Raw genomic sequence first — 27661 nt, 5'->3', positions numbered from 1 at the left:
GCGACAGTGCAAGACTCCGTCTCAAAAAAAAAATGCAAAAAAAAAAAAAGGACTGGGCATGTTGGCTCACACCTGCAATCTCAGCACTTTGAGAGGCCAAGGCAGGAGGATAGCTTGAGGCCAGGAGTTCAAGACCAGCCTGAGCAACATAGCAAGACAGCATCTCTATTTTTTCAAAAAATTAGCCAGGCATCATGGTGCATACCTGTAGCCCCAGCTACTCAGGAGGCTGAGGTGGGAGGATTGCTCAAGCCCAGTAGTTCAAGGTTACAGTGAGCTATGACCATACCACTGCACTCCAACCTGAATGACAGAATGAGACTCTGTCTTAGAAAAAGAGAGAAAGGACTGTAGTCACATTCTCTTGAGGCTTCTAATAATATGTTTAGAATAATTCACATGGTCTGAGACTCACATACCAATGACCTCTTCCCCCAGCTGTGTTCTCACCTGGGAAGAGGATGCGGCTGACCATCCCAGGGAACACCATTATGAAGAGGGGCAGCACCTTCAGGTATGCAGCCATCAGAGCACCTCCTTTGGCATGGGACAGGTTCTTGGCAGCCAGAGTCCGCTGGACAATCACCTGGAAAAGATCAAGGGGGTTGGAAACTGGGAATGCTGATATAGTTTGGTTGTGTCCCCACCCAAATCTCATCTTGAATTGTAGCTCCCATAATTCCCACATGTTGTGGGAGGGAGTCAGTGGGAGATAACTGAATCATGGGGGCAGTTTCCTCCATACTGTTCTCATGGTAGTGAATATGTCTCATGAGATCTGATGGTTTTATAAGGGGAAACCCCTTTCACTTGGCTCTCATTCTCTCTTTGCCTGCTGCCATCCATGTAAGACGTGACTTGCTCCTCTTTGCCTTCTGCCATGATTGTGAGGCCTCCCCAGCCATGTGGAACTGTGAGTCCATTCAACCTCTTTATAAATTACTCAGTCTCAGTATGTCTTTATCAGCAGTGTGAGAACAGACTGTATTAGAAGGCTTTCTCTTAAGGCAAACGGGGTGTGTAGCCTCTTGGTAGTTGTAGGAGACTTAGGATCTTGGTTTGCCAAGCTTCTGTTTGAAGAAACATCTCTTTCCTATGCTCAGTCCCTGTGGTCTAATTCAGGTAGTTTAGACACCCACCCCATTCCCTCCTTACTCTTTTATCCAGGGGTTACGCCTTGCCAATTAGAGTCCTCCACAGAATTATTTCACCTCTCTGGCTACTATGATCCATGAAGGAAAAGCATGTCCCCAAGGCAATCCAACCACAGCTCTCCATGGAACTTCTTCCTTAAAAAGGCAAAGGAGGCTGGGTGCAATGGCTCACGCTTGTAATCCCAGCACTTTGGGAGGCCAAAGCAGGAGGATTGCTTGGGCCCAGGAGTTCAAGACCAGCCTGGCCAACATGGTGAAACTCTATCTCTATAAAAAAATACAAAAATTAGCTGGGTGCATTGGCGCACACTTGTAATCCCAGCTACTTGGGAGGCTGAGACAGGAGAATCACTTGAACCCGGGAGGTGGAGGGTGCAGTGAGCCAAGATCGCACCACTGCACTTCAGCCTGGGCGATAGAGTGAGACTCTGTCTCAAAAAAAAAAAAAAAAAAAAAAAAAAAAGGAAGGAGGTTGTCTAACTCCTGGTGCCTCCTTCGCAATTCCTAACTGTGAAGGTAGTGTAGAGCTGCTGGCTGCATCTCTGCCATGATATGGGAAGGCCTCTTTGAAACTAAGTCATCACAGAGGAAAGAAAACCAGGAAATGGAGAGAAAGGCAATGTGTGATGATGTAGTATCAGAGACAGGCAGTCTGGGTTCAAATACTACCTCCCCACTTCCCGCCTATCTGACCTTGGGCAAGCAACTTCACCTCTCTTGGCCTCTGATTCCTCATCTATGAAATGAGCATAGTACCAGCCCAGTTTTGACAATTAGAGAAGTGAAAGTACTTAGAATACTTAGAATATGACACATAGTAACTGCTTCATAAATATTAGTTGCTTCCATTGCCATTAGCCACCTCTGGACTCCCCATCATGTAAATTTTTTAAAATGCCTTTTTTTTTTAAGAGATGGGGTCTCACTCTGTTGCCCAGGCTGAAATGCAATGATGTGATCACAGCTCACTGTAGCCCCAAAGTCCTGGGCTCAAATGATCCTCCTGCCTCAGTCTTTCAAGTAGCTGAGACAACAGGCATGAACAACCATGTCAAGCTAATTTTTAAAATTTTTATTTAGAGATGGGGTCTTGCTATATTGCTATATTGAGGAGGCTGGTCTTGAACCCCTGGCCTCAAACAATTCTCCTGCCTCAGCCTCCTAAGTAGCAATGTCACCACACTTGGCTACATTTTATGTTTAATTTTATTTTTTGTAGAGACAGACTCTCACTATGTTGCCCAGGCTGGTCTCCAACTCCTGATGTCAAACAACCCTCCTGCCTCAGCCTCCCAAAGTGCTGTGATTATAGGCGTGAGCCACCACGCCCAGAAAAAAAAAAAAAAGAGCCTTTTTATCCTTAAACAATTTTTTCCACATAAACAACTAAATGAGTCCTCACTAAATCATCAAAGAACCCTTAATGAGAAGAGTGTAGTGAGGTTAAGACTTGCTGCAAACCCCATACCACAGCCCCAATAATTTAGATTTCACAGCACATTTTGATGGGGAGAGAGATGTCACCTTGGGCGGTATTTCATCTGCAGAGTCCATGGGACTGTACCTTGTCAGAGACAGTTGCCCGAAGGCATCAATGTGCTCAAGGACAGTGTGAAATATGCAGTTTTTGTTAATGACCTAACTGCATTAGCAGTGACACAAACCGGGCTTGGTGGACACGTTTCAAGGACAGGTACTCATGCCCACTGGACACAGCACATTCAGCCGGTCAGAATTCAAAAAAGCTCCGGTCACAAGCTGGCTGTCCAACTGAGGGGTCCCTTCCCTCCCCCACCTTCCCCTCCCCTCCCCTCCTTTTCCCTTCCCTCCCTTCCCCTCCCCTCTCCTGTCCTCTCCTTTCTTCTTTCCTCTCCTCTCCTTTCCTACTTTTTTTTCTTTTCTTTTCCTTTCTTTTTTGAGATGGAGTCTTGCTTTGTCATCCAGGTTGGAGTACAGTGCTGGGATCTCTGCTCACTGCAGCCTCCACCTCCTGGGTTCAAGCAATTCTCCTGCCTCAGCCTCCCAAGTAGCTGGGATTACAGGATCCTGCCACCATGCCCGGCTAATTTTTGTATTTTTAGTAGAGATGGGGTTTCACCATGTTGGCCAGGCTGGTCTCAAACTCCTGACCTTAAGTGATCCACCCACCTCAGCCTCCTAACTTGCCGGGATTACAGGCATGAGCTGCCACACCCAGCCGGGTCTGTTTTCTGTAACCATCAGATCCTAAAAGGGAGAGTAGTCGGATGGTTCTTTTTTTTTTCTTTCTTTCTTTTTTTCTGAGGCAGGATCTCACTCTATCACCCAGATTGGAGTGCAGTGGTGCAATCATGGCTGACTGCAGCCTTGAACTCCAGAGCTAAAGTGATCCTCCCACCTCAGCATCCCAAGTAGCTGGGACCACAGGCATACACCACCACACCCAGCTATTAATATTTTTTAAATTTTTTTGTAGAGATGAGGTCTCGCTATGTTACCCACTGGTTTCAAATCCCTGGGCTCAAGCAATCGTCTTCTCACAGCCTCCCAAAGTGCGGGGATTACAGGTGTGAGCCACTGTGCCCAGCCAAGTGGTTCCTTTTTGTTTGTTTGTTTGTTTGTTTTTTGGGACGGAGTCTCGCTCTGTCACCCAGGCTGGAGTGCAGTGGCGCGATCCGGGTTCACTGCAAGCTCCGCCTCCCGGGTTCAGCTATTCTCTTGCCTCAGCCTTCCAAGTAGCTGGGACTACAGGTGCCCACCACCATGCCCAATTAATTTTTTGTATTTTTAGTAGAGACGGGGTTTCACTGTGTTAGCCAGGATGGTCTTGATCTCCTGACCTCGTGATCCGCCCGCCTCAGCCTCCCAAAGTGCTGGGATTACAGGCGTGAACCACTGTGCCCAGCCAAGTGGTTCTTAGTAAGAAACATCTCAGTTGCAGGGGAAAAAGTGAGCTAAGAGGAATGAAAATGCAACCTGAATATGTGGGGAGGAGGGGCCATGATTAGCTATGTCAGCCATCTGTTATGGCATCTGTCATCTAGCCACCTTATCTTTCCTTGCTTTTTCCACATTAATCATGTATAAATTTTCCCTTCCTTGGGGTGGGAAAGGAGGAGGGAGAGCTGTCATGGTGGAGCATGGTGACCAGGGAGCAGGCATCTGCACAGAAATGCAGCTGGGGGTGGGTTCCCAGAATTGAGAGCATCCAATAGGTGTGGTGCAATGAGTCAATGGAGCGATTTAAAGTGCAGACGGACTTAGGTGTGAATCCCCCCACCAGCTCTTTGTGAGTTTGGATGAGTTCCTTAACCTTTCCAGGCTCAGCTCTCTCATCTGTAAAATGGGGATGATAACTGTGCTTGCTTTTCAGGTGTCTAGCAGCTCTTTAGCAAAGAGAGCAGTTGTGATTATTGGCATTGTCATCATCACTGCTATTGTTAGATGAAACCAGAGAAAGAAGTTCCAACAGGTCAACGAAATAGAAATAGATGAGAGTAGGATTAGATAGTGGAAACTGGATCAGAGAGCTGTAGGTCAGAAGTTCAGAAATCTGGCTGGGTGCAGTGGCTCACGCCTGTAATCCCAGCAGTTTGGGAGGCCGAGGTGGGTGGATCACTTGAGGTCAGGAGTTCAAGACTAGCCTGGCCAACATAGCGAAACCCTATCTCTACAAAAAATACCAAAAATTAGCTGGGCATAGTGGTGCACGCCTATAGTCCCAGCTACTCAGGAGGCTGAGGCATGAGAATTGCCGGAACCCAGGAGGCAGAGGTTGCAGTGAGCCGAGATTGCACTACTTTACTCCAGCCTGGGCAACAGAGCGAGACTCTGTCTCAAAACTAAAAATAATAATAAATAATAAAAATAATAAAAAAGAAGTTCAGAAACCTGAAAACAGTAAACATTGGTTCAATAAAGGAAGGAGGAAGATGGTCTTGGGGGAATACCTGGGCAGGTGAAATTGTCTCTGGCTGGTTTTTACAAACGGCTTTTTCCTGGTGGCAGAATGGGTCAACTGTCTTTTTTTGTTTCGTTTTGTTTGTTTTTGAGACAGAGTGTTGCTGTTGCCCAGGCTGGAATTACAGGCATGAGTCACTGTGCCCGGCATAATTAATTAATTAATTAATTAATTTTTTGAGATGGAGTCTCACTTTGCTGCCCAGGCTGGAGTGCAATGGCATGATCTCGGCTCACTGCAAACTCCACCTCCCGGGTTCAAGTGATTCTCTTGCCTCAGCCTCCTGAGTAGCTGGGATTACAGGTGCCTGCCACCACACCTGGCTTTTTTTTTTTTTTTTTTTTTTTTTGTATTTTTAGTAGAGACAGGGTTTTGCCATGTTGGCCAGGCTGGTCTCAAACTCCTGACTTCAGGTGATCCACCCGCCTTGACCTCTCAAAGTGTTGGGATTACAGGCATGAGCCACCGCACCCAGCCAGGTCTGTTAAATTTAAAGCCCATGATGTTAGCCCGGATCAGTCCTGTTTCTCAAGGTCTCTCCTACCTGAGATGTGCTAAGGAGGAGAAGGGGGTCTCTCTCTTAATGGGGCAGTACATGTGCATTGCTCTCATCACTGCCTTGGTCCTTAGCTCTCCGCTCAAAGGAGGGCTGGCCTATGGATGAGACCTGGGTTTCATTCTCTGAAGTCTCCTGCATCAAATCAATGTCCAATGCCATGATTATTGCTTTAATTAAACTGTCATCAGCCCTCACTATGCAGTATAACTCCCCAAGTGGTACATTGATCTCTGATGTTTCATGTACCAGAAAAATAATATTTGAACACGTGATATATTCACTCAGTTTAAAACCCGAGAAAATATAACATGCAGTAAATCGGCTCTCATTCATCCTTCCCACCCGCCCTGCCTCCCTGCCCACAGGTATCCACTCTTCTTAGTTTTGTATACATCCATCCAGAGTTTATGGACATATAAGCAAATGCAAATATTGATTCTATTCTCCTTTTTTTTTTTTTTTAACACAAAAGGACTTCTTGTACACATGGATCTGCTTTCTGATTTTTTTCCTTTCTTTTTTCACACCAGTTATGTATCTGCCTCGCTCTGGGTGTTCCTTCTGCTGCAAACTCTTCCTCCAAAAATCACAGGAAGCTCTCGCTCTTCTACAAAGTCTTTGGTCAAAGGTCACTTCTGAATGATACCTCCCCTCAGCACCCTACATTATTTGAGACAGGATCTTACTGTCTCAAGCCTGTTGCCCAGGCTGAAGTGCAGTGGTGCAATCTCAACTCACTGCAGCTTTGACCTCCTGGGTTCCAGCAATCCTCCCACCTCAGCCTCCCAAGTAGCTGGGACTCCAGCTGCACACCACCGTGCCTGGCTAATTTTTACTTTTTTTTTTTTTTTTTTTTTAGAGATGGTCTCACTATGTTGCCCAGGTTGGTCTCAAACTCCTGGGCTCAAGTGAGCCTCCTGCCTCAGCATCCTAAAGTGTGTGAGCCACCTGTCACCCCATTTTAAATTGCACTCCCACACTCTCAATCTCCTTGACCTCACTCTACTTTTTAAAATGATATTTATCAAACTTTAACATCTCACATAATTTACTTATTATCTCCGTCTACTCCCATTAGAAGAAGGGAAGCTCCACAAGGGCAGAGAGCTTTGTTTGATTTATTAGCTCCTGATTTTAAGTGCCCAGAAGAGTGCCTGGTACGTAGAGGACACCCAGTGTGTATTTGTTGAACAAATGATGTCCAATAGGAGTTTTACCCCCATTTAAAAGGTATCATCTCCTTTGCTTACTGGATATTCTCATACATTAAGCAAAGTGTATTAGGCCAGCTGCAGTGGATCACACCTATAATCCCAGCACTTTGGGAGGCTGAGGCGGGAGGATCACTTGAACTCAGGAGCCTGAGAGCAGCCTGGTCAGTGTAGTGAGACCTGCATCTCTACTAAAAAATAATAATAATAATAAATAGCTGGGCATGGTGGCATGTGCCTGTAGTCCCAGCTACTCAGGAGGCTGACATGGGAGGATCTCTTGAGCCCAGGAGATGAAGGCTGCTGTGAGCTATGATCGTGCCTCTGCCTTCCAGCCTGGGTGATAGAGTGAGACCCTGTCTCAGAAAAAAAAAAAAAAAAAAAAGGCAGAGTGTGTTGAGTTTTCCCCTTTGCAAATATCAGCAGCTTTGGATTTGTCATTCCCATTCACAGAGGAAGAAATAAAATAGCATGTAGAGCAATGGAAAGGAGGAAGTAGTCAAGGAAGCAGGGAAAACGCAAATGAGAGAAGAGATGGAGGAAGAAAAAAGCACCGACTTCAGCCACCCTAAGGAAAGAAGCAAAGAGAAGGAAAAACTTGCTCAGGCCACTGTCCTGTACCTGATCCGTGCACCAGTACCAGAGGGATGGGATGGACATTCCAAATAGGACCCCCGGCCACGGGAGATCAGATGTCAGCGGATCTCGGAAAATATGGAAGGCATCTTCCCGGGGCAGCCCGCAGCTGCTGTTCTCACTCCGGTTGCTAGCCAGGGCCAAGAAGTACTTCTCCTTCAGTCCTTCCATCCCACCAACCGCGGCGAAACCTAGAATTCAGAGGAAGCCTATTTTCCGGGAACTCAGATTGGTCCATGGCAAGTGATGAGGAGATGGCTGGAGACTGGTGAAATTCTAGTAGGACCAGAGCCACCAAAAATGTTAATCCCCTTAAGGGTTCTTAACCTCCTCCCCACATTTTTTTAACTTAAAAAAATTAATATTAGAGTTTTATTGGACTATAATTGACCTAACCATAAATTACAAATATGTAAAATGTAAAATTTGGTGTTTGACATAAGTATTCACCCATGAAACCTCCGTCACAAAGTAATGAATGTATCTATCCAAGTTTCTTTTTTCTTTCTTTCTTTCTTCCTTCCTTTCTTTCCTTCCTTCCTTCTTTTTTTTTTTTTTTTTTTTTTTTTTTTTTTTGATATGAAGTCTTGCTCTGTCACCAAGGCTGGAGTGTAGTAGCATGATCTTGGCTCACTGCCACCTCCGCCTCCCAGGTTCAAACGATTCTCCTGCTTCAGCCTCCTGAGTAGCTGGGATTACAGGCATGTGCCACCATGCCTGGCCAATTTTTGTACTTTTAGTAGAGATGGGGTTTCACCACGTTGGCCAGGCTGGTCTCGAACTCCTGACCTCAAGTGATACTCCTGGCCATTGTCCCATGCCATTGTATGTTATTTAAGCCCATTGAATTCTCCCAAAAATAATTTACTACCTCCCTAAAATCATCTACACTTGTCCATCTCCTTTTTCCTTAAGAAGTGCGGTATAGAAACATCTGTATGACATTAGGATATTGAGAAATCCCTCTGTAATTCTCCCCTGTGTGTGCTAATAAATTTGTATGCCTTTTCTTCTATTAATCTGCCTCTTGTGGGTTGATTTTCCAGTGAGATTTCCAGTCTTCCCTTCGCTCCTACAATTGCTTCTCAGAAGAATACTTCTAAATAATGCAAAAATACATAGGATTGCAAAGAAATCAAATATATTGAACCATCAAAATATTAAAAATGTGACATAGTAATTTATTTATTTGCTCCATTAAATTGTAAGACTGGCCAGGCACAGTGGCTCACACCTGTAATACTAGCACTTTGGGAGGCCGAGGTGGGCGAATCGCCTGAGGTCAGGAGTTCGAGACCAACCTGGCCCACATGGTGAAACCCTGTCTCTACTAAAAATACAAAAATTAGCCAGGCGTGGTGGTGGGTGCCTGTAATCCCAGCTGCTCAGGAGGTTGAGGCAGGAGAACGTCTCCTGGAGGTAGAGGTTGCAGTGAGGCAAGATTGCGCCACTGCATTCCAGCCTGCGTGACAGAGCGAGACTCCATCTCAAAAAAAAAAAAAAAAAAAAAAAAAAATTGTAAGACCTTGTAGTAGGTCTAATAATGGTTTCAGGTTTTGTTGTTTTGTTTTGTTCTTAGAGACAGGGTCTCACTCTGTCACCCAGGCTGGAGTGTAGTGCTACAATCATAGCTCACTGTAACCTTGAACTCCTGGGCTCAAGCTATCCTCCTGCCTCAACCTCCAGAGTAGTTAAGACTACAGGCATGTACCACCACATCCAGTGACTTTTAAAGTTTTTTGTAGAGATGGATCTCACTATGTTGCCCAGGCTGGTCTCGAACTCCTAGGCTCAAGCAATTCTCCTGCCTCAGCCTCCCAAAGTTCTAGGATTACAGGCATGAGCCACCGCATATGGCTTATATTTTGTTTCTTTTCTCATTCTTAATTATGCTGTTTTCTCTTTTTTTCTTGGTTTGATTTGCAGCTGCATTTTATGGTTCTTTTCAAAGAAATAGATATTGGGCCGGGCCAGGTGGCTCACGCCTGTAATCCCAGCACTTTGGGAGGCCAACGCGGGTGCATCACCTTAGGTCAGGAATTCAAGACCAGCCTGGCCCACATGGGGAAACCCTGTCTCTACTAAAAATAGAAAAATTAACCAGGCATGGTGATGCATGCCTGTAGTCCCAGTTACTCAGGAGGCTGAGGCAGGAGAATTGCTTGAACCCGGGAGGTGGAGGTTGCAGTGAGCCAAGATCACACCACTGCATGCCAGCCTGGGCAACAGAGCCAGACTCCGTCTCAGAAAAAAAAAAAAAAAAAAAAAAAAAAAAAGGACAGGCACGGTGGCTCACACCTGTAATCCCAGCACTTTGGGAGGCCAAAGTGGGCAGATCGCCTGAGGTCAGGAGTTTGAGACCAGCCTGGCCAACATGGTGAAACCCCATCTCTACTAAAAATACAAAAATAAGCTGGATGTGGTGGCGCGAGCCTGTAGTCCCAGCTACTTGGGAGGCTGAGGCAGGAGAATCACTTGAACCCAAGAGGTGGAGGTTGCAGTGAGCTGAGATTGTGCCACTGTACTCTAGCTTGGTGACAGAGCAAGAGTCCATCTCAAAAAAAAAAAAAAAAAAAAAAAAGAAATAGATACTGGAGTAACTGGAGTAACCCATAATGTCATCTTCTTTTTTCTAAATCACTAAATTGGGCTTTCATATTTATGAATATAAATGTTTTGATAGAGGTACAGCTTTGACTGTATTAAGTATGAAATGTAATGTTCTCATTTTTCTCTGCATAGTCTGTAATTGCAGCTTTTACTTCCTTTGTGACCCAGGCACTATTTAGAAGATGGCTATTAAATTTCTAAGTAACTAGATTTTTTAAAAATTTACACTTTTCCTAATGAGTTTAATTTTTGGGGTGTATATGAGTAAGATAATATAATCTGAACAACGCTTTTATACATATTTTTGTAAAAAATTTTTTTCAATGATTAATTTTTGCGGGTGATTCCATGAATGCTGGAAAAAGATACATTCATGATAGGAGAACGCTTATTCATTTGTAGAATTTATATCTTCTAAATCCTTATTATGTTCTTGTTCTGTTAAACTATTTTAGTACTGTTTTGGTTTCTGTCAACCTATAACAGCTTCTGCTTTGTGTATCTTGTTGCAATGTTATTTAATAAGCAAAGATTATCTCTTTATTATGAATTTTCTATTTTCAATATAAAATTACTTATCCCCCGTTTATCGCTTTTTGCCTTATGTTATACTTTGTTTTATATGTGCCACTTGCAAATTATATCAAGTTACATTTTCTTAACCCAAAATATAAATCTTGAGTTTTGTTGAGAAAATAAATAATATATAGCTAAGGAAGAGAAAAACAGAACAAACAGCCACACAGATTGTAACTGCTTATAAGAAGCCTTGTCTTTCAATAGGGAATTTTATTCCATGTACTTGTATTGTAATAACTGATATTTTTACTATTACTTTGCATTCTCTTTTATTCTTTCCCTTTGGTTGTGATTTCTTGTTATTCTCTTTTAGGAAAAAAAAACTTATATGCACACATATTTCCTACATAAAGGGTGAGATTTATATGAGTGTCTGCTTGGAGTTCAGTATTTCTTCTTCATGATGTTTTTCTTCCTATTTGATGGGAAATCTAGCATACTATCTCTCCCAACATTTTAAAGTTTTTGTTAGTAAAATAGGGGGCTTTAGATCCAATTTTTATTAAATTGTTATATTCTTTATGTAACGTTTGCCTTGACCACACAATTTTTTCAGATCTGTAATGATTTTAACTGGATCATTATTTACTACCATTTTCTCTTTAGTCATAATACCAACTCTCGATTTTGTTTTGTTTCTGTCTTGTACCTTCAAGACAGGCACATAGGTCCTCCCTTTACTAAGTCTTTGCATGGTTCAGAATATTTCTGCAGCCCTGGCAAACAGAGAACTTGGCTGGTATCTGATCCTTACTTAGGATACAACTTTTCCCATAAAACACATCTGTAGCCCTTGCTCCACTGTCTTTTGGCATTTTATTGTTATGAAGGAGGGGAATGAGACCAGTTTGTTTATTATTTTTAGCTCACTACATTTTTTCTGTCTGGATTCTTTTTTTCTTATATACAGAGTCTCACCCTGTCACCCAGGCTGGGGTGCAGTGGTGCAATAATAGCTCACTGCAGCCTCGAGCACCTGGACTCAAGTGATCCTCCTGCCTCAACCTCCTTAACCTCCCTGATCCTCCAGTCCCCACCTGAGACCACAGGTGTGCACCACCACATCCAGCTAATTTTCCATTTTTCATAGAGTGGGGTCTTGCTTTGTTGTCCAGGCTGGTTTCAAGCTACTGGCCTCAAATGATCTTCCCACCTCTCTGTCTGTATTCTTTAGTATTTAAAAAGTATTCTTATACTTCACATTTTTTTCATAATGCTTCTTCTACCTGGAGATCTTGTTCATCGATTTTGCCTAAGACACAGCAAACCCTTCACACCTAGCTAGATATATCATCCTCCTTCTAAGAAAAGTTTTCTTTTGTGATTACTTTAATTATTTACTTTGTTCCATTTTTTTCTGACCTTTTTTCTAAGAATAAACATTTCTCAAAAAGCAAAAACAGAAAGAAAGAAAAAGAATAAACATTTCTCAAATGGTATATCTCTGCTCTCTATCTTCTATATTTGTCATCTTTTCTTTTATAATTTTATTATTTATCCCTTTTCTCTGCATTTTATTAGAACTCCTGTTTGTTTTCAGCCGGGCGTGGTGGCTCATGCCTATAATCCCAGCACTTTGGGAGGCCAAGGCGGGCAGAAGATGAGGTCAAGAGATGGAGACCATCCTGGTGAAGATGGTGAAACCCCGTCCCTACTAAAAATACAAAAATTAGCTGGGCATGGTGGCGTGTGTCCGTAGTCCCAGCTACTTGGGAGGCTGAGGCAGGAGAATCGCTTGAACCCGGGAGGTGGAGGTTGCAGTGAGCCAAGATCATGCCACTGCACTCCAGCCTGGGTGACAGAGCGAGACTTCATCTCAAAAAAAAAAAAAAAAGAACTCCTATTTGTTTTCATCCTGGGTTTGATTTTCTTTAGCGTTTGTTCTGCTCTTTACATCCACCTGTGGGGAGTTTAATTCTGCTAATTTTTTTAGAAAATTTTAGAAAATGTATTGTAATCTTCTGTAATCTTTTTCCTTTTTATCCGCTTCTATTCTCCCTTCACCTCAGTTTGTCCTCTACTTCTATCTTTCATACATGTTTCATAGAGTTCAGGATTCCAAGCATGGCACTCTCTTGATATTTTCTTCTGAGTCCTAAAATATATAATTTTCAGCACTATATTCTGCCATCTTTCAGGATTTTGATCCCTTTCGCTTTTCTGTGTTTTCTATATTAGTTTTCATAGCCTTTTTTTTTTTTTTTTTTTTTTTTTGAGACAGGGTCTCACTCTGTCTCAAAGCGAGACCAGGCCGGAGTGCAGTGGCACAATCTCAGCTCACCGCAGACTCAACCTGCCAGGCTCAAGCCATCCTCCCACCTCAGCCTGTCAGGTAGCTGGGACTACAGGCACATGCCACCAAACCTGGGTAAGTTTATGTTTATTTTTTGTAGAGACAGTCTCACTATGTTGCTCAGGCTGGTCTCAAACTCCTGAGCTCAAGCGATCCTCTTGCTTTGGCCTCCCAAAGTGCTGGGATTACAGGTGTGAGCCACCACACTCGGCCTTTGTTGTAGTCTTTAAGGCTTAATGAGTGGCTTACCTCTAAAAGATAGAAACCTGTGGAGAGTAGTGTCCCCCGCTTAACAATAATAAGAAGTTGGCTAATCAACAAAATAACTTCCCCTGAACCTATCAGAGAGCTGAGGCCATAGAGCAACCAACTGGCCTGAGATCTCAGAAAACACAGGAGCCTCCAAAGAGACATGACCGTTGGCAGCAAAACAAAGACAGGATCACCACACAAGCTGGTACGAAGAATTGGGCGAATATTTTGAAATGAAATGCTAAAGTCTAGGTGTGGGCTAGTGCTAGAGTTTAAAGCTTCTGGGCTGGATGCAGTGGCTCACGCTTGTAATTTCAGCACTTTGGGAGGCCGAGGCAGGTGATTGCTTGAGCCCAGGTGTTTGAAACCAGCCTGGGCAACATGACGAAACCCCATCTATTTAAAAAAATGAAAAAAATTAGCCAGGGATGGTGGTGCACACCTGTGGGCCCAGCTACTTGGGAGGCTGAGGCGGGAGGATTGCTTGAGCCCAGGAGGCAGAGGTTGCAGTGAGCCAAGACTGTGTCACTGCACTTCAGCCTGGGTGGCAGAGTGATACCCTGTCTCGAAACAAACAAACAACAACAAAAACCTCTGTAAGGAAAAGCTGTCTCTTCACATTCTTTTATTTATTCATTCAGTTATTTTTCCATATTAGTATAGAAAGAGATTTTTACTTGAAAAAAAAAAAAACAGTGCCAGGTGGGGCAGCTTGGGGAGGCTGAGGCAGGAGAATCACTTGAGGCCAGGAGTTTGAGATCAGCCTGGGCAACATAGTGAGACTCTATCTCTACAAAAAAAAAAAAAAAAAACAAAATAAAAAAGCAATTAGCTCGACATAGTGGCCTATGTCTGTAGTCCCAGCTACTCAGGAGGCTGAGGTGAGAGAGTCACTTGAGCCCAGGGGCTCAAGGCTGCAGTGAGCAATCATCACAGCACTGCACTCCAGCCTGACTGACAGAGCAAGATCCTGCCTCAGAACAAAAAACAAAAACAAAAACAGTAAGTTTCCACAATAAGCACATTTCTCTTCTAGCTAAAATAACCGTGCCTCAAGCAAAGCACCTGTGACAAAAAATTCCCCAGTAGTATGCTCTTTGACAGCTAGGTTTGCCGTTCACAGTGTGGAGAGCAGATATCCCTGCTGGAGAGAGGTGCTGTTGTCCGCCCCAGTGACCCGGGGACCCCACTTACTGTAGCCCATCAAGGTGAGCGCTCCTATAAGCATGATCAGCGTCTGCAGGGCATCCGTGTAGATCACAGCAGCCAGGCCACCTGGTGGGATGAGCACGGAGGTGAGGGTCAGGGAGTCTAACGAGAAGGGGTTACTCTGGGTCACCAAGGGAACCTGGAAGGCCAGGACCCGATGGGAGATTTCTTAGTGCTGACTGATTGCAAAGATGGCCACGATCACTCCTCCCTGTGTGCACGCCCATTTTGCAATGTGACTTTGCTGCTCCTTTCACGTTGAGGTGAAGTTGATTTCTCCGCTTCTCACATGGGCTTGGCCACGTGACTTGCTTTGACCAATAGAATGTGGGGGAAGTGGTATGGGCCTCAAGGAGCCCTGCAGCTTCTGCACTTACTCTCCTGTTGCCCTGAGACCATTTGCTTTAAGAAGCCAGGTCTAACCTAGTGAAGGAAGAGGGCCCCCACGGAGGGGAAGCCCAGTCGACAGCCCAAGCTAACACCAGCCATGTGAGTGAGGCCATCCTCTTCCAGCCAGTTGCTCCACCTAACACCGAACTATAATTCGCAGAGCCAGGTTAGACTAGCAAATATCCACCCAGGAACCCATGGACTTGTGGGGAATAATAAACCATTGATTTTTCAAGCCCCTCAATTTGTGGGTGGTTTTTTAACACAGCAATTTTCAACTGATATAGGAAGTGGTGCTTAGGCCACAGTCCCCAAGCTCTGAACACCTTTAGTTATTTATTATTTATTTATTTATTTTTTAGAGCCAGGGTCTCACTCTGTCAACCCAGGCTGGAGTGTAGTGGCGTGATCATAGCTCACTGCAGCCTAGACTTCCTGGGCCCAAGTGATTGTCCTGTCTCAGTCCCCCAAGTAGCTAGGACTATAAGCATGAGCCACCATGCCTGGCTAATTTTTAACTTTTCTCTAGAGATGGAGTCTTGCTATGTTGCCCAGGGTGGGCCCGAACTCCTGGCTTCAAACAGTCCTCCTGCCTCGGCCTCCCAAGGTGCTGGGATTACGGGTGTAAGCAACTACACCCAGCCAACACCTTTATTTTTAAGACTGGATAAAGGATGTGAGTATTAGGTATTCAGAGGCCCCCTAGACTTCCTGGAGAGGATCGTGATGGTGCCTCAGAGGATTCTTGTTGGGTTTGCCACCTGCAAAAATCTTCGAAATGGGCTGGGAAAGATGGCTCATGCCTGTAATCCCAGCACTTTGGGAGGCTGAGGCAGACAGATCACCTGAGGTTAGGGGTTCAAGACCAGCCTGGCCAACATGGTGAAACCTTGTCCCTACTAAAAATACAAAAATTAGCCAGGTGTGATGGGGCATGCCTGTAATCCCAGCTACTCGGGAGGCTGAGACAGGAGAATCACTTGAACCCAGGAGGCAGAGGTTGCAGTGAGCCAAGATCGTGCCACTGCACGCCAGCCTGGGCAACAGAGCGAGACTCCATCTCAAAAGAATAAATAAATACATAAAAATTCATAATGATGATCCTGGTAGCAAATCCATCAGCATCTGGAAAGAGCAATCTTTCCAGTCTCTTCCTTAAACCTCTGTTCTTCCTCCTTCCCTGAGGAGAAGGGACACTTATCCAATAGAAACATGTCTACTAGAGGGCACAGTCACTGTACAATTTAAAAACCCTGTGCCCGTGGGTGAGGTGCTCTCCAGGATCCCTCCTTCCTTCCCAGCAGGAATAGGGCTCTCACAAAGGGGAGGAGAACTGGCTTTGATTCTGGCCTCAGTTCCCTGCCGTTCACGCATGCAGTGAGTCAGCCTGAGTGTGGTGAGATCCTGGTGTTGGGTACCACTTAACCCCACCATCCTTTCTATATTAACAGTGATGAGAATCTCTCATATGCCAGGCACTGTGGGGATCATTTTGTTCAGTCTTTCACCAAATAGCCGGTGAGCTCCCCACCAAGTTCTACGTGGTAGGGATGCAGAGGCCAACAAAATGGCATGTTCCCTGCCCTCATAGAGTCTACAGTCTAATGGGGGACACAGACCTCCAAACAAGGAACACCAACATTCATCAGCTATGGCAGCCTGCCCTCCCCTTTTCCCCTGCCCCAGGCACATTGCTTCTGCTAGTTCTGAGAACTCAGCCAAGGTCTTTCTGTATCAGGGGACTTTGCATATGTTAGATTTTGTCAATTTTCTGTTTAGAGCATCCAATAGTATTCCATGGCACTTAGAACAAATGTAAGGCTCATTTTGTTTCCTTCAAAGCTCTGGTCCCTGCCCTTTTCTCCAATCCCACTCTTACCACCAGGGTTGCTGCTTAGCACAGTGCCACGGGGTGCCATTTTCACTCTGGTTGGTGTGAATGGCACCCCCTGGAGTGGAATAGGGCACAGCCTACATAACCATTTGCTCAAGCAGGTTCTCATCTCAGAGTGTTTACTGCAGCCCTTCTCTCAGCCTGGAATTCTCCTCCCCTGCATTGCTCATGGGGTGTTATTTAAACTTGGTTGAGATACGAAAAAATGCTCATCATCGCTAATCATCAGAAAAATGCAAATCACAGGCCGGGCACAGTAGTTCACATCTGTAATCCCAGCATTTTGGGAGGCTGATGCAGGCGGATCACTTGAGGCCAGGAGTTCAAGACCAGCCTGACCAACACAGTGAAACCCTTTCTCTACCATAAAATACAAACGTTAGCCGGGCATAGTGACTGGCACCTGTAGTCTCAGCTACTTGGGAGGCTGAGGCAGGAGAATCACTTGAACCTGGGAGATGGAGGTTGCAGTGTGCCAAGATTGCACCATTGCACTCCAGCCTGGGCAACAGAGGGAGACCCTGTCTCAAAAAAAGAAAAACAAACAAACAAACAATCAAACAAAAACAAATCACTACCACAATGAGATATCATCTCACACCAGTCAGAACAGCTTTTTTTTTTTTTTAATTTGAGTTTCGCTCTGTTGCCCAGGCTGGAGTGCAGTGGCACGATCTCAGATCACTGCAGCCTCTGCCTCCAGGGTTCAAGCGATTCTCCTCCCTCAGCCTCCCAGGTAGCTGGGATTACAGGTGCCCGCCACCACGCCTGGCTAATTTTTTTGTATTTTTAGTAGAGACAGGGTTTCACTATATTGGCCAGGCTGGTCTCGAACTCCAGACCTCAGTTGATCCTCCTGCCTTGGCCTCCCAAAGTCCTGGGATTACAGGTGTGAGCCACTGTGCCCGGCCAGAACAGCTTTAAACTTAAAAACAATTAAGAAGTCAAAAGATAACCGACGTTGGCGAGGTTGTGGAGAAAAGGAAATGCTGATGCACTGTTGGTGGGAGTGTGATATGGTTTGGCTCTGTGTCCCCACCCAAATCTCATGTTGAATTGTAATCCCCGCGTGTTGGGGGAGGGTCCTGGTGGGAGGTGATTGGATTATGGGGGTGATTTTAATGATTCAGCACCATCCCCAGTGCTGTCTGGTGATAGAGTTCTCATGAGAATTGGTTGTTTAAAAGTGTGTAGCACTAGGCCAGGCACGGTGGCTCATGCCTGTAATCCCAGCACTTTGGGAGGCCGAAGCGGGCAGATCACCTGAGGATGGGAGTTCGAAACCAGCCTGACCAACATGGAGAAACCCTGTCTCTACTAAAAACACAAAATTAGCTGGGCATGGTGGCACGTGCCTGTAATCCCAGCTATTTGGGAGGCTGAGGCAGGAGAATTGCTTGAACCCAGGAGGTGGAGGTTGTGGTGAGCTGAGATTGCACCATTGCACTCCAGCCATGAAAGAGTAAGTCTCCATCTCAAAAAGAAAAGAAAAGAAAAAAGTGTGTAGCACCTCCCGCTTCACTCTTTCTCTCCGGCTCCATCATGGTAGGACGTGCTTACTTCCCCTTTGCCTTCCACCATGACTGTAAGTTTCCTGAGGCCTCCTAGCCATGCTTCCTGTTAAGCCTGTGGAACTGTGAGTCAATTAAACCTCTTTTTTTTTTCATAAATTATCCAGTCTCGGGTAGTTCTTCATAGCAGTGTGAGAATGGACTAATACAGAGTGTAAATTAGTTCAGCCACTGTGGAGAGAGAACTGAGAATTGAATTATCATTTGACCAGCAATCCCACTACTGGGTATGTACCCAAAGGAAAATAAGTCATCCTACCAAAAAGACACATGCCCTCATATGTTCATCACAATACTACGCACAATAGCAAAGACATGGAATTGACACAGGTGCCCATCAACAGTGGATTGGATAAAGAAAATATGGTACAGATATACCACGAAATACTACACAGCCATTAAAAAGGACAAAATCATAACCTTTGCAGCACATGAATGCAGCTGGAGGCCCTTATCCTAAGTGAATTAATGCAGGAACAGAAAACCACTCACTTATTTGTTTATTTTCTTTTTCTTTGAGATGGGGTCTTGCTCTGTTGCCCAGGCTGGAGTGCAGTGGTGTGATCTCCATTCACTGCAACCTTGCAACCTCTGCCTCCTGCGTTCAAGAGATTCTCCTGCCTCAGCCTTCCACATAGCTGGGATTACAGGCACCTGCCACCACACTCTGCTAATTTTTGTATTTTTAGTAGAGAATGGGTTTCACCATGTTGGCCAGGATGCTCTGGAACTCCTGACCTCAGGTGATCTTCCCACCTTGGCCTTCCAAAGTGCTGGGATTACAGGAGTGAGCCACCATGCCTGGCCCACCTGTTCTCACATATAAGTGGAAACTGAATAAACATTGGGTACTCATGGACTTGAATAAGGGAATTGGGGACTACTAGAGGAGGGAGAGGGAGGGGGATACCAGTTGAAAAACTACCCATTGGGTACTATGCTCACTACGTGGACTAATGGATCCATTCGTACCCCAGACCTCAGCATCATGCAATATACCTATTAACAAACCTGCATGTACCTCCTGAATCTAAAATCAAAGTCGAAGGTGAAAAAAAAATTGGTTGAGATATCACCTTAGAGAGGCCTTAGCTGAATATTCTATGTAAAAAAAAAACAAAAAACCAAAAAAAACCTGTCCTCCATCTCTTCACCCCAATTAATTTTTCCTTATAGCACTTCTCAGGTTATAATAATATACACTGACATATTTATTTATTTATTTTTGAGACAGAGTCCCACTCTGTTGCCCAGGCTGGAGTGCAGTGGTGTGATCTTGGCTCACTGCAACCTCCGCCTCCTAGGTTCAAGTGATTCTCTTGCCTCAGCCTCCCGAGTAGCTGGGATTACAGGCATGTGCCATCATGCCCAGCTAATTTTTCTGTATTTTTAGTAGAGACCGGGTTTTGCCATGTTGGCTAGGCTGGTCTAGAACTCCTGATCTCAGGTGATCCACCCGCCTCGGCCTCCCAAAGTGTTGGGATTACACACGTGAGCCACCACACCTGGCCTAACATTATTTATTGATTTCCCTGTTCATTGTCTCCCATCCTCAATAAGTTCCTCTGGAGTAGAGATATTTGTCTTGCTTACATCTGTGCCTCACTCCCTGGCATGATGTCTGGCACACAGTAGGAAATGTATATCCATATACACATACCTGTGTATGTAAATACATGATATATAGATACAAGGTACATAATATAGAGATACCAGTGTGTTTGTGTCTGTGCACACACAGGCACACACAGACACAAACAGACACACACATATATATGGAATGAGTTATATCAAGCCAAGAGGAGGCGGAAAAGGGTGAAAATAGAGTGGAAGATGAGATAATAAATATTTAAAAACAGGTACTTCTCAAGGCCCTACTGCGTGCCAGGCACTCTTCTAGGATACAGGTATGAGGCGGAGAGATGAGGTTACCTGCCCTCAGGCTCCAGGATTGCAGTAGTTTATTATCCAGCCTTGTATTGTGCCTGTGAGTGCACATGGCTCAGCAGTTAGTAGGTGCTCAAGAAACAGTTCTGGGATACATGAATGGGAAAAAACATTATGCCATTGTGGTGCATTTTAAAAATGCTTTATCTTTTTTTATTCTGAGACGGAGTCTCGCTCTGTCACCCAGGCTGGAGGGCAATGACACCATCTTGGCTCACTGCAACGTCCGCCCCACCGGGGTTCAAGCGATTCTCCTGCCTCAGCCTCCTGAGTAGCTGGAATTACAGGAGTCTGCCAGCATGCCCGGCTAATTTTTTGTTGTTGTAGTTGTGAGCTGGTGTCTCGCTCTGTCACCCAGGCTGGAGTGCAGTGGCGCGATCTTGGCTCACTGCAACCTCCGCCTCCCGGGTTCAAGTGATTCTCCTGCCTCGGCCTCCTGAGTAGCTGGGATTTCAGGCACGGGCCATCATGCCTGGCTAATTTTTGTATTTTTAGTAGAGATGGGGTTTTGCCATGTTGGTCAGGCTGGTCTTGAACTCCTGACCTCGTGATCCACCCACCTTGGCCTCCCAAAGTGCAGGGATTACAGGCGTAAGCCACCGTGCCTGGCCTAATTTTTCTATTTTTAGTAGAGATGGGATTTTGCCATGTTGGCCAGGCTGGTCTGGAATTCCTGGCCTCAAGTGATCCACCTGCCTCGGCTTCCCAAAGTGCTGGGATTACGGGCATGAGCCACCGAGCCCAACCTAAAAAGCTTTATCTTATCAGGTAACCCCCTTCCTTTGGATAATGGTCAGGAGAAATCTTTTTATCTAGGGTAAAGGAGTGACGTTTAATGAATAAATGGGTCTTAGCACAATGGAACATCAGAAGATGGGCAAGGAGAAGGTAGAGTGGCCCACAGCCCCTGCCCACTGCCTCTGCTAGGTGTTACCCTTTGTTCAGTCTTACCAGCAACCGTGTATACAGCAGTGATGGCCAGTAGCCCAACTATGGCCAGGTACAGATCCAGGTGCAAAGACTGCTGGATGAAGATGGCACCTGCATACATGTCTACCTGTGAAGAAAGGAGGTTGATGGATGAACAAATGAACGAATGAATGAATGAGTGGACATTTGCAGCACAGGTTCCCTGGGATCAGGGCCTAGCCTAGATGCTGACAAACACAGAAGAGTCATACGTCATCCCTTGTTAATCCACTGCATCCCAGATCAGGGGTCTTCAGCTGGAGCCCTGTGGGCCCTGGGCTGATGCAGCAGCCTCCTCAATGGTCTTCCTGCTTCTGCTTTTGGTCCTCTCCCACTCCATCTTCCACACTGCAACCTTCATTAAATACCATAATGATCACATCACCCTTCTCCTCCCCACTCAAACTCTTAAGTGACTCCCCCATTGCCCCCAAGATAAAGGCTAAATAAATGAGGCTAAATACTCACTTCGTACTCCCAGACCTCCACAGACTCTGAAATACCCTCTGTTTCTCAACAAGTCATGTGTACCTGGGCCTCCCAGATTTCACTTGTGCTGGTGCTTCCGTCTGGAGGGCCAATCCCCTTTCTCTAACTGTAAGTTCCTCCTGGGATGTAACTTCCCCTAGAAGGCTTCCCACATCTGCAGCTTCCCACCAGACTGCAAGTGAACATTCTAGAAAGGAGCCTGTGTTGTCTGTCCTGCAGTCTGGAGCTGGCGTAGATTCACTTATTGTTGTTTGGATTGAACGGAACCCCTTCTGCTCCCCCTCACCCCTTCCCATAGGACAAGCTCCTCCCTCCTCCCTGGCTGGAAGCGAAGACAGCTTCTGCTGAGGGGCACATGTCTGGAGGTTGCAATACACCTGTTCTTTGCCACTTCCTAGGAGATCTGCCCATCCAAAGGTCAGGGTGGGGCAGCGCAATCAGCCAACAGCACATCGGATAAACAGCTGATCACTGTCTAATTCCAGGAGGAAGAGAACAGTCCTATCCAAGGGTTGGCAGGGTTCTTGGAGTCCCATTGATCAACCCACATCATCCTGAGATGTTGACAAAGAAGCTTTGGCAGGAGTAGGAGAGAAAGTCCTTCCCTCCTTTCCTCTACCTTTTCTCCCAATTTCTTCTTTTTTTTTTTTTTCTTTTTTTTGACACAGAGTCTCGCTCTTTCACCCAGGCTGCAGTACAGTGGCATGATCTTGGCTCACTGCAACCCCCGCCTTCTGGGCTCAAGCAATTCTCCTGCCTCAGCCTCCCGAATAGCTGGGACTACAGGCATCAGCCACCACGCCTGGCTAATTTTCGTATTTTCTGGTAGAGATGGGGTTTCGCCATGTTGGCCAGACTGGCCTCAAACTCCTGACCTCAAGTGATACACCTGCCTCAGCCTCCCAAAGTGCTGAGATTACAGGCGTGAGCCACTGCACCCAACCATTTTCTCCCAATTCCCTCTGTCCACGCTTACCTCCCCCCATGCCATCTTCCTCTAATCTCCCTGCAGCCTATGAAAGACGAGGAGAAAGGGGATAGCGAGGAGACACTCCTGAGCAATGATCTGTGCCTTATCTTCTCCCCATGCTGCATGGGTGAGGCCAGGCTGTGTCCCTGCCTTACCGAGATCTTGGTGAAGATGTAGATAAATAGGTAGAGTACAGCCAGGATGATGGGGATTCTGATGCCACCGAAGCGCTTCCGTAGGTATTCTGGCATCGTGGTGACCTGAGGGCCAGAGCTGAGATTTCACCACCAGCGGACTTCACCACCAGCACGTGACCCCCCCACACAAGCCCTTCCCATCTGCTCCTGCCCCCGCAACTCAGAGCACAGATGGTCTTCTTGGGATTCTCAACCTGATACTTAAGAAGGGAGGAGAGGGGCCCAGCACAGTTGGTTCCCATCACTTTGGGAGACTAAGGCAAGGGGAATCACTTGAGTGCAGTTTGAGACCAGACTGGGCAACATGGTGAAACCCCATTTCTACAAAAAATACAAATTTAGTCATGCGTGGTGACAGGCGCCTGTAGTCCCAGCTACTCAGGTGGCTGAGGTGGAAGGATCACTTGAGCCTGAGCTCAGGAGGTCGCGGGTGCAGTGAGCCATGATCATGCCATTGCACTCTAGCCTAAGTGACAGGGAGACCCTGCCTCAAAAGACATACATATGGTAGACAAAAACAAATTCTAGGCGGATAATAGATTTAATTGTGAGGCCATGCACGATGGCTTACACCTGTAATCCTAGCACTTTAGGAGGCCAAGGTGGGAGGACTGCTTGAGCCCAGGAGTTCAAGACCAGCCTGGGCAACATCTCTATTGCTACAGTAAGACCCCATCTCTATTTTTTTTTAAAGACATATAACCTAATAGAAAAATGGACAAAAGTCCTAGACAAGTTACTTCCTCAAAGAGGAAATCCAAATGGCCGGAAAATGTATAAAAAGAGTTGCCAATTAAAAACAGTGAGATGGCCAGGTGCGGTGGCTCAGGCCTGTAATCCCAACACTTTGGGAGGTGAGGTGGGAGGATCATCTGAGGTCAAGAGTTCAACACCAGCCTGGACAACTTGGCGAAACCCCGTCTCTACTAAAAATACAAAAATTAGCTGGGCATGGTGGCTGTAGTCCCAGCTACTGGGGCAGTGTGTGTGTGGTGGGGGACGGAGTGAGGCAGGAGAATCAAGAATTGCTTGAACCCAGGTAGGCGGAGGTTGCAGTGAGCTGAGGGCACGCCACTGCACTCCAGCCTGAGCGACAGAGCAAGACTCTGTCTCAAAAAAATTTTAAAAAGCAGTGAGATATCACTACACATGCACCAAATTCGCAAGAATCTTTAAGTTGGAGAATATAAAATGTAACCAAGGATACGCTGAATTGCAGGAAAGGGAATTTTCATACACTGCTGGTGGGAATATAAATGGATAGAACTACTCTGGGAAAATGTTTGTCAATATCTTGTAAAGCCAAAGATGAACATATCCAATGACCTAGAAATTCCACTTAGAGGTAGATTCTCTCACCAATGCTTGTCTATGTGTAGAAGAACACATTTATAAAAATGTTCACAGCAGTGCTGTCTATCATAGACCAATACTGGGAGCAACTTAAACGCCCATGCACAACAGAATGGATAAATATATTGGAATGTGAGTCACACTACACGATACCGCATAGCAATGAAAATTAACACATCAGCTACATGTAACAAAAGAATATTACCTCCAAGCTGGGTGCGGTGGCTCACACCTGTAATCCCAGCACTTTGGGAGACTGAGGTGGGTGGATCACCTGAGGCCAGGAGTTCAAGAACAGCCTGGCCAACATGGGGAAACCCCATCTCTACTAAAAATACAAAAAGTAGTCGGGCGTGGTGGTGTGCACCTGTAATCCCAGCTACTTGGGAGGTTGAGGGAGGAGAATTGCATGAACCCAGGAGGCAGATGTTGCAGTGAGCTGAGATCATGCCACTGCAACTCCAGCCTGGGCAGCAGAGCGAAACTCTGCCTCAAAAAAAAAAAAAAAAATTACTCCAGTTTTCAATTATCTATGACCCACCCTTCACCAAAAAAAGTAAAATTCAACTGCATTGTTCAGGTATGCAGAATTAAAACTGTAAATAAAAGCAAGGGAGTAATTACTTAATAGGAAAGCCAAGGAGAAGGGAAGGCATTGTGATTTTTCTTTTTTAGAGACGGGGTCTCGCTGTGTCACCCAGGCTGGAGTGCAGTGGTACAATCATAGCTCACTGCAGCCCTGATCTCCTGGGTTCAAGCAATCAATCCTCCTCCTCAGTCTCCCATCCTCTTGCCTCAGCCTCCTGACTAGCTGGGACTAAAGGTGCACACCACCAGTCTCAGCTAATTCTTTATTTTAATTATTTTTGTAGAGATGGGGGTCTCACTGTGTTGCCCAGGCTGGTCTCAAACTCCTGGCTTCAAGCAATCCTCCCACCACAGCCTCCCAAAGAGCTGAGATTATGGCCCTGAGCCACTGTGCCCAGCCAGCATTGTGATTTTCTAAAGGCTTGCAGGGTACATTATATTTATTTCCTTCCTTCCTTCCTTCCTTCCTTCCTTCCTTCCTTCCTTCCTTCCTTCCTTCCTCCCTCCCTCTCTCCATTCCTTCCTTTCTCTCTTCCTTCCTTCTTCTCCTTTCCCTTTCCCTTTTCCCCTTTCCCCTTTCCTTTCCTTTCCTTCTTTCCTTTCCTTTCCTTCTGACGGAGTCCCACTCTGTCACCCAGGCAGGAGTTAAGTAGTGTGATATTGGCTTACTTTACTCCACCTCCTGGGTTCAAGCAATTCTCCCACTTCAGCCTCCCGAGTAGCTGGGACTACAGGCACCTGCCACCACATCTGGCTAATTTTTGTATTTTTTTAGTAGAGACAGGTTTTCACCATGTTGCCCAGCCTGGTCTCGAACTCCTAGGCTCAAGTGACCTGCCTGCCTTGGCCTCCCAAAGTGCTAGGATTACAGGCATAAGCTATATACTTTTATTTTTATTTTTTAGCAAAAAGCAGAAACATAGGCTGGGCATGGTGGCTTATGCCTGTAAGTCCAGCTACTCAGATTGGGAGGCTGAGGTGTGCAGATCACTTGAGCCCAGGAGTTCGAGACCAGCCTGGGTAACATGGCAGGATTTTTGTATTTTCTACTAAAAAAAAAATGCAAAAATTAGCTGGGTGTGGTGGCTTGCATCTGTGGTCCTAGCTGCTGGGGAGGCTGGTGAGACCAGGTGAGCCAAGATTGCACCACTGCATTCCATCCTGGGGACAAAGCCAGACCCTGTCTCAAAAAAATATAGCAGAAACATGTTGTGATTTAAACATTTAAAAGAGATTGTGAGCTTTACATTTGTGTTTTGGTATTTAAAATTTTGGGGTCCATATTTTTTCCAACCTCCAAATGCCTTCTGTGTGCCTTGGATGTTGGGTACTGGCAGGAAGTGCTATGGACTGGGTTCCTCATTGTCTCACCTGTGGATCATCCCTCCCCTTTACTGGGGCCTCTGAGTGGCAATCGAATACATGACCATGGGCAGGAGGGAGGGATGGCGGGATGAGGGAGGGACTGCAGGGCTGAGATTCCCAAAGCATCTTTCAATTCTACAGCATCCCAATGTCCCCCGACTCACCTGACCAGCAATGTAGATGGGTAGGAAGATCCAGGCCAACATCAGCACAGAAAACAAGCCCTGCTCAAGAAAACACAGTCAGGACTTGGCCCCCAGCTCACAACAAGGTACCCATTTGGATTTCCCTCTGCGCCCTGAGGCAGCCTGGCCTGAACTCCACCTCTGGTGTAGTCTCTTACTCGCTGAGTGGTTCACCTGTGCTGGCCTTCAAATTTCCTTTTTTAACATGGGGAATGGATTCGGGAAGGAAGAGGAGAGTGGAAAAAGAAGGCCTTTGCGATGCTTCCTAGTTCTGTGTCTCCTAAACATCATGTCATCACTTCATCCAGTTGTGCCCCCTCCCCTCCTCAGCAGTGATTAAAACAAGACCATGACAGCAGGCAGATCTGGGTTCAAAGACGACCACAAGAGTTAACACAGGTCTCCGAGACTCATTTTTCTCACCTGGAAAATGGGCATATCAGTGCCTCACTAAGTGGTTGCAAGGAAATCAGGAAGATGATACTTAATGAGTACTGTATGCCAGGCGCCTCTCTGCACCCTTTACAAGCATTAATTCATTTGACCCTCATAATGGTTCTACATAACAGGTACCATTAATATGCCTATTATGTACATGAGGCTCAGAGAGGTTAAGAAACTTGCCCAGCTGGGTGCGGTGAGTCACGCCTGTAATCCCAGCACTTTGGCAGGCAGAAGCCAGTGGATCGCTTGCACCCAGGAGTTTAAGACCAACCTGAGCAACATAGTGAAATTCCCGTCTCTACAAAAAAATATGAAAATTAGCTAGGCATGGTGGCGTGCACCTGTGGTCCCAGCTACTTGGGAGGCTGAAGTGGGAGGATGGTTTGAGCCTGAGAGGTGGAGGTTGCAGTGAGCCATGACCACACCACTGCACTCCAGCTTGGGCGACAGAGCGAGACCCTGTCTCAAAAAACAAAACAAAACAAAACAAACAAGCAGAAATAACACTTGCCACCCAAGGTCACACAAAAAGCAACTTGCTGCTGAAGTTTATACGTGTTGGAGCAAGAATGTAAACCCAGGCAGTGTGGGTCTAATTTGTAAATGAATCCTATAATGTGATAGCATATGGAACATATCAAAGTCTGTTCCTGGCATAGAATAAGCATCCAAAAATATTGGACATTATGAAGGCAATGATCATTATTAATAATCCCCTCCCTGCCCTGACCCCAGTAAAAATCATATCCCAAATGAGCCCTGCTATATACGAGAGTGTATCTTATCCCTTGAGTATCTCAGAGGTAGCAAACAAAGTCAAAAACTACTGAGCTGTAAAATTTTTGTGATGGCCGAT

At 45.7% G+C, this 27661-nt stretch overlaps 1 protein-coding gene across 37 annotated transcripts in view; it reads right to left on the bottom strand.

Moving 5' to 3' along the window:
• The window catches only part of SLC5A11 (solute carrier family 5 member 11), a 65664-nt gene that overhangs the window by 13067 nt on the left and 24936 nt on the right, over positions 1-27661 (bottom strand). For 15 of the 37 annotated variants that reach the window (NR_147935.2, NR_147934.2, NR_147936.2 and 12 more), the window contains 6 exons: positions 26341-26400; positions 22829-22933; positions 21197-21302; positions 14429-14509; positions 7486-7691; positions 451-586 (listed from right to left, as the gene is read on the bottom strand). Coding sequence is in view for 27 of the 37 variants with exons in the window: in XM_047433573.1 (XP_047289529.1) it covers positions 451-586; positions 7486-7691; positions 14429-14509; positions 21197-21302; positions 22829-22933; positions 26341-26400 (694 nt within the window). In the remaining 10 variants the exon portion in view is untranslated. Of the gene's footprint in view, positions 1-450; positions 587-7485; positions 7692-14428; positions 14510-21196; positions 21303-21426; positions 21570-22828; positions 22934-26340; positions 26401-27661 lie in introns of those variants that run through there. The other 22 variants (NR_147933.2, XM_011545725.3, XM_047433574.1 and 19 more) reach the window with 9 other exon arrangements.

Source organism: Homo sapiens, chromosome 16 (assembly GCF_000001405.40).
Source record: "Homo sapiens chromosome 16, GRCh38.p14 Primary Assembly".
NCBI classification, from domain to species: Eukaryota; Metazoa; Chordata; class Mammalia; order Primates; family Hominidae; genus Homo; species Homo sapiens.
Note: the sequence above shows the minus strand (reverse complement) of the source record. Positions and strands in the feature narration are given on the sequence as shown.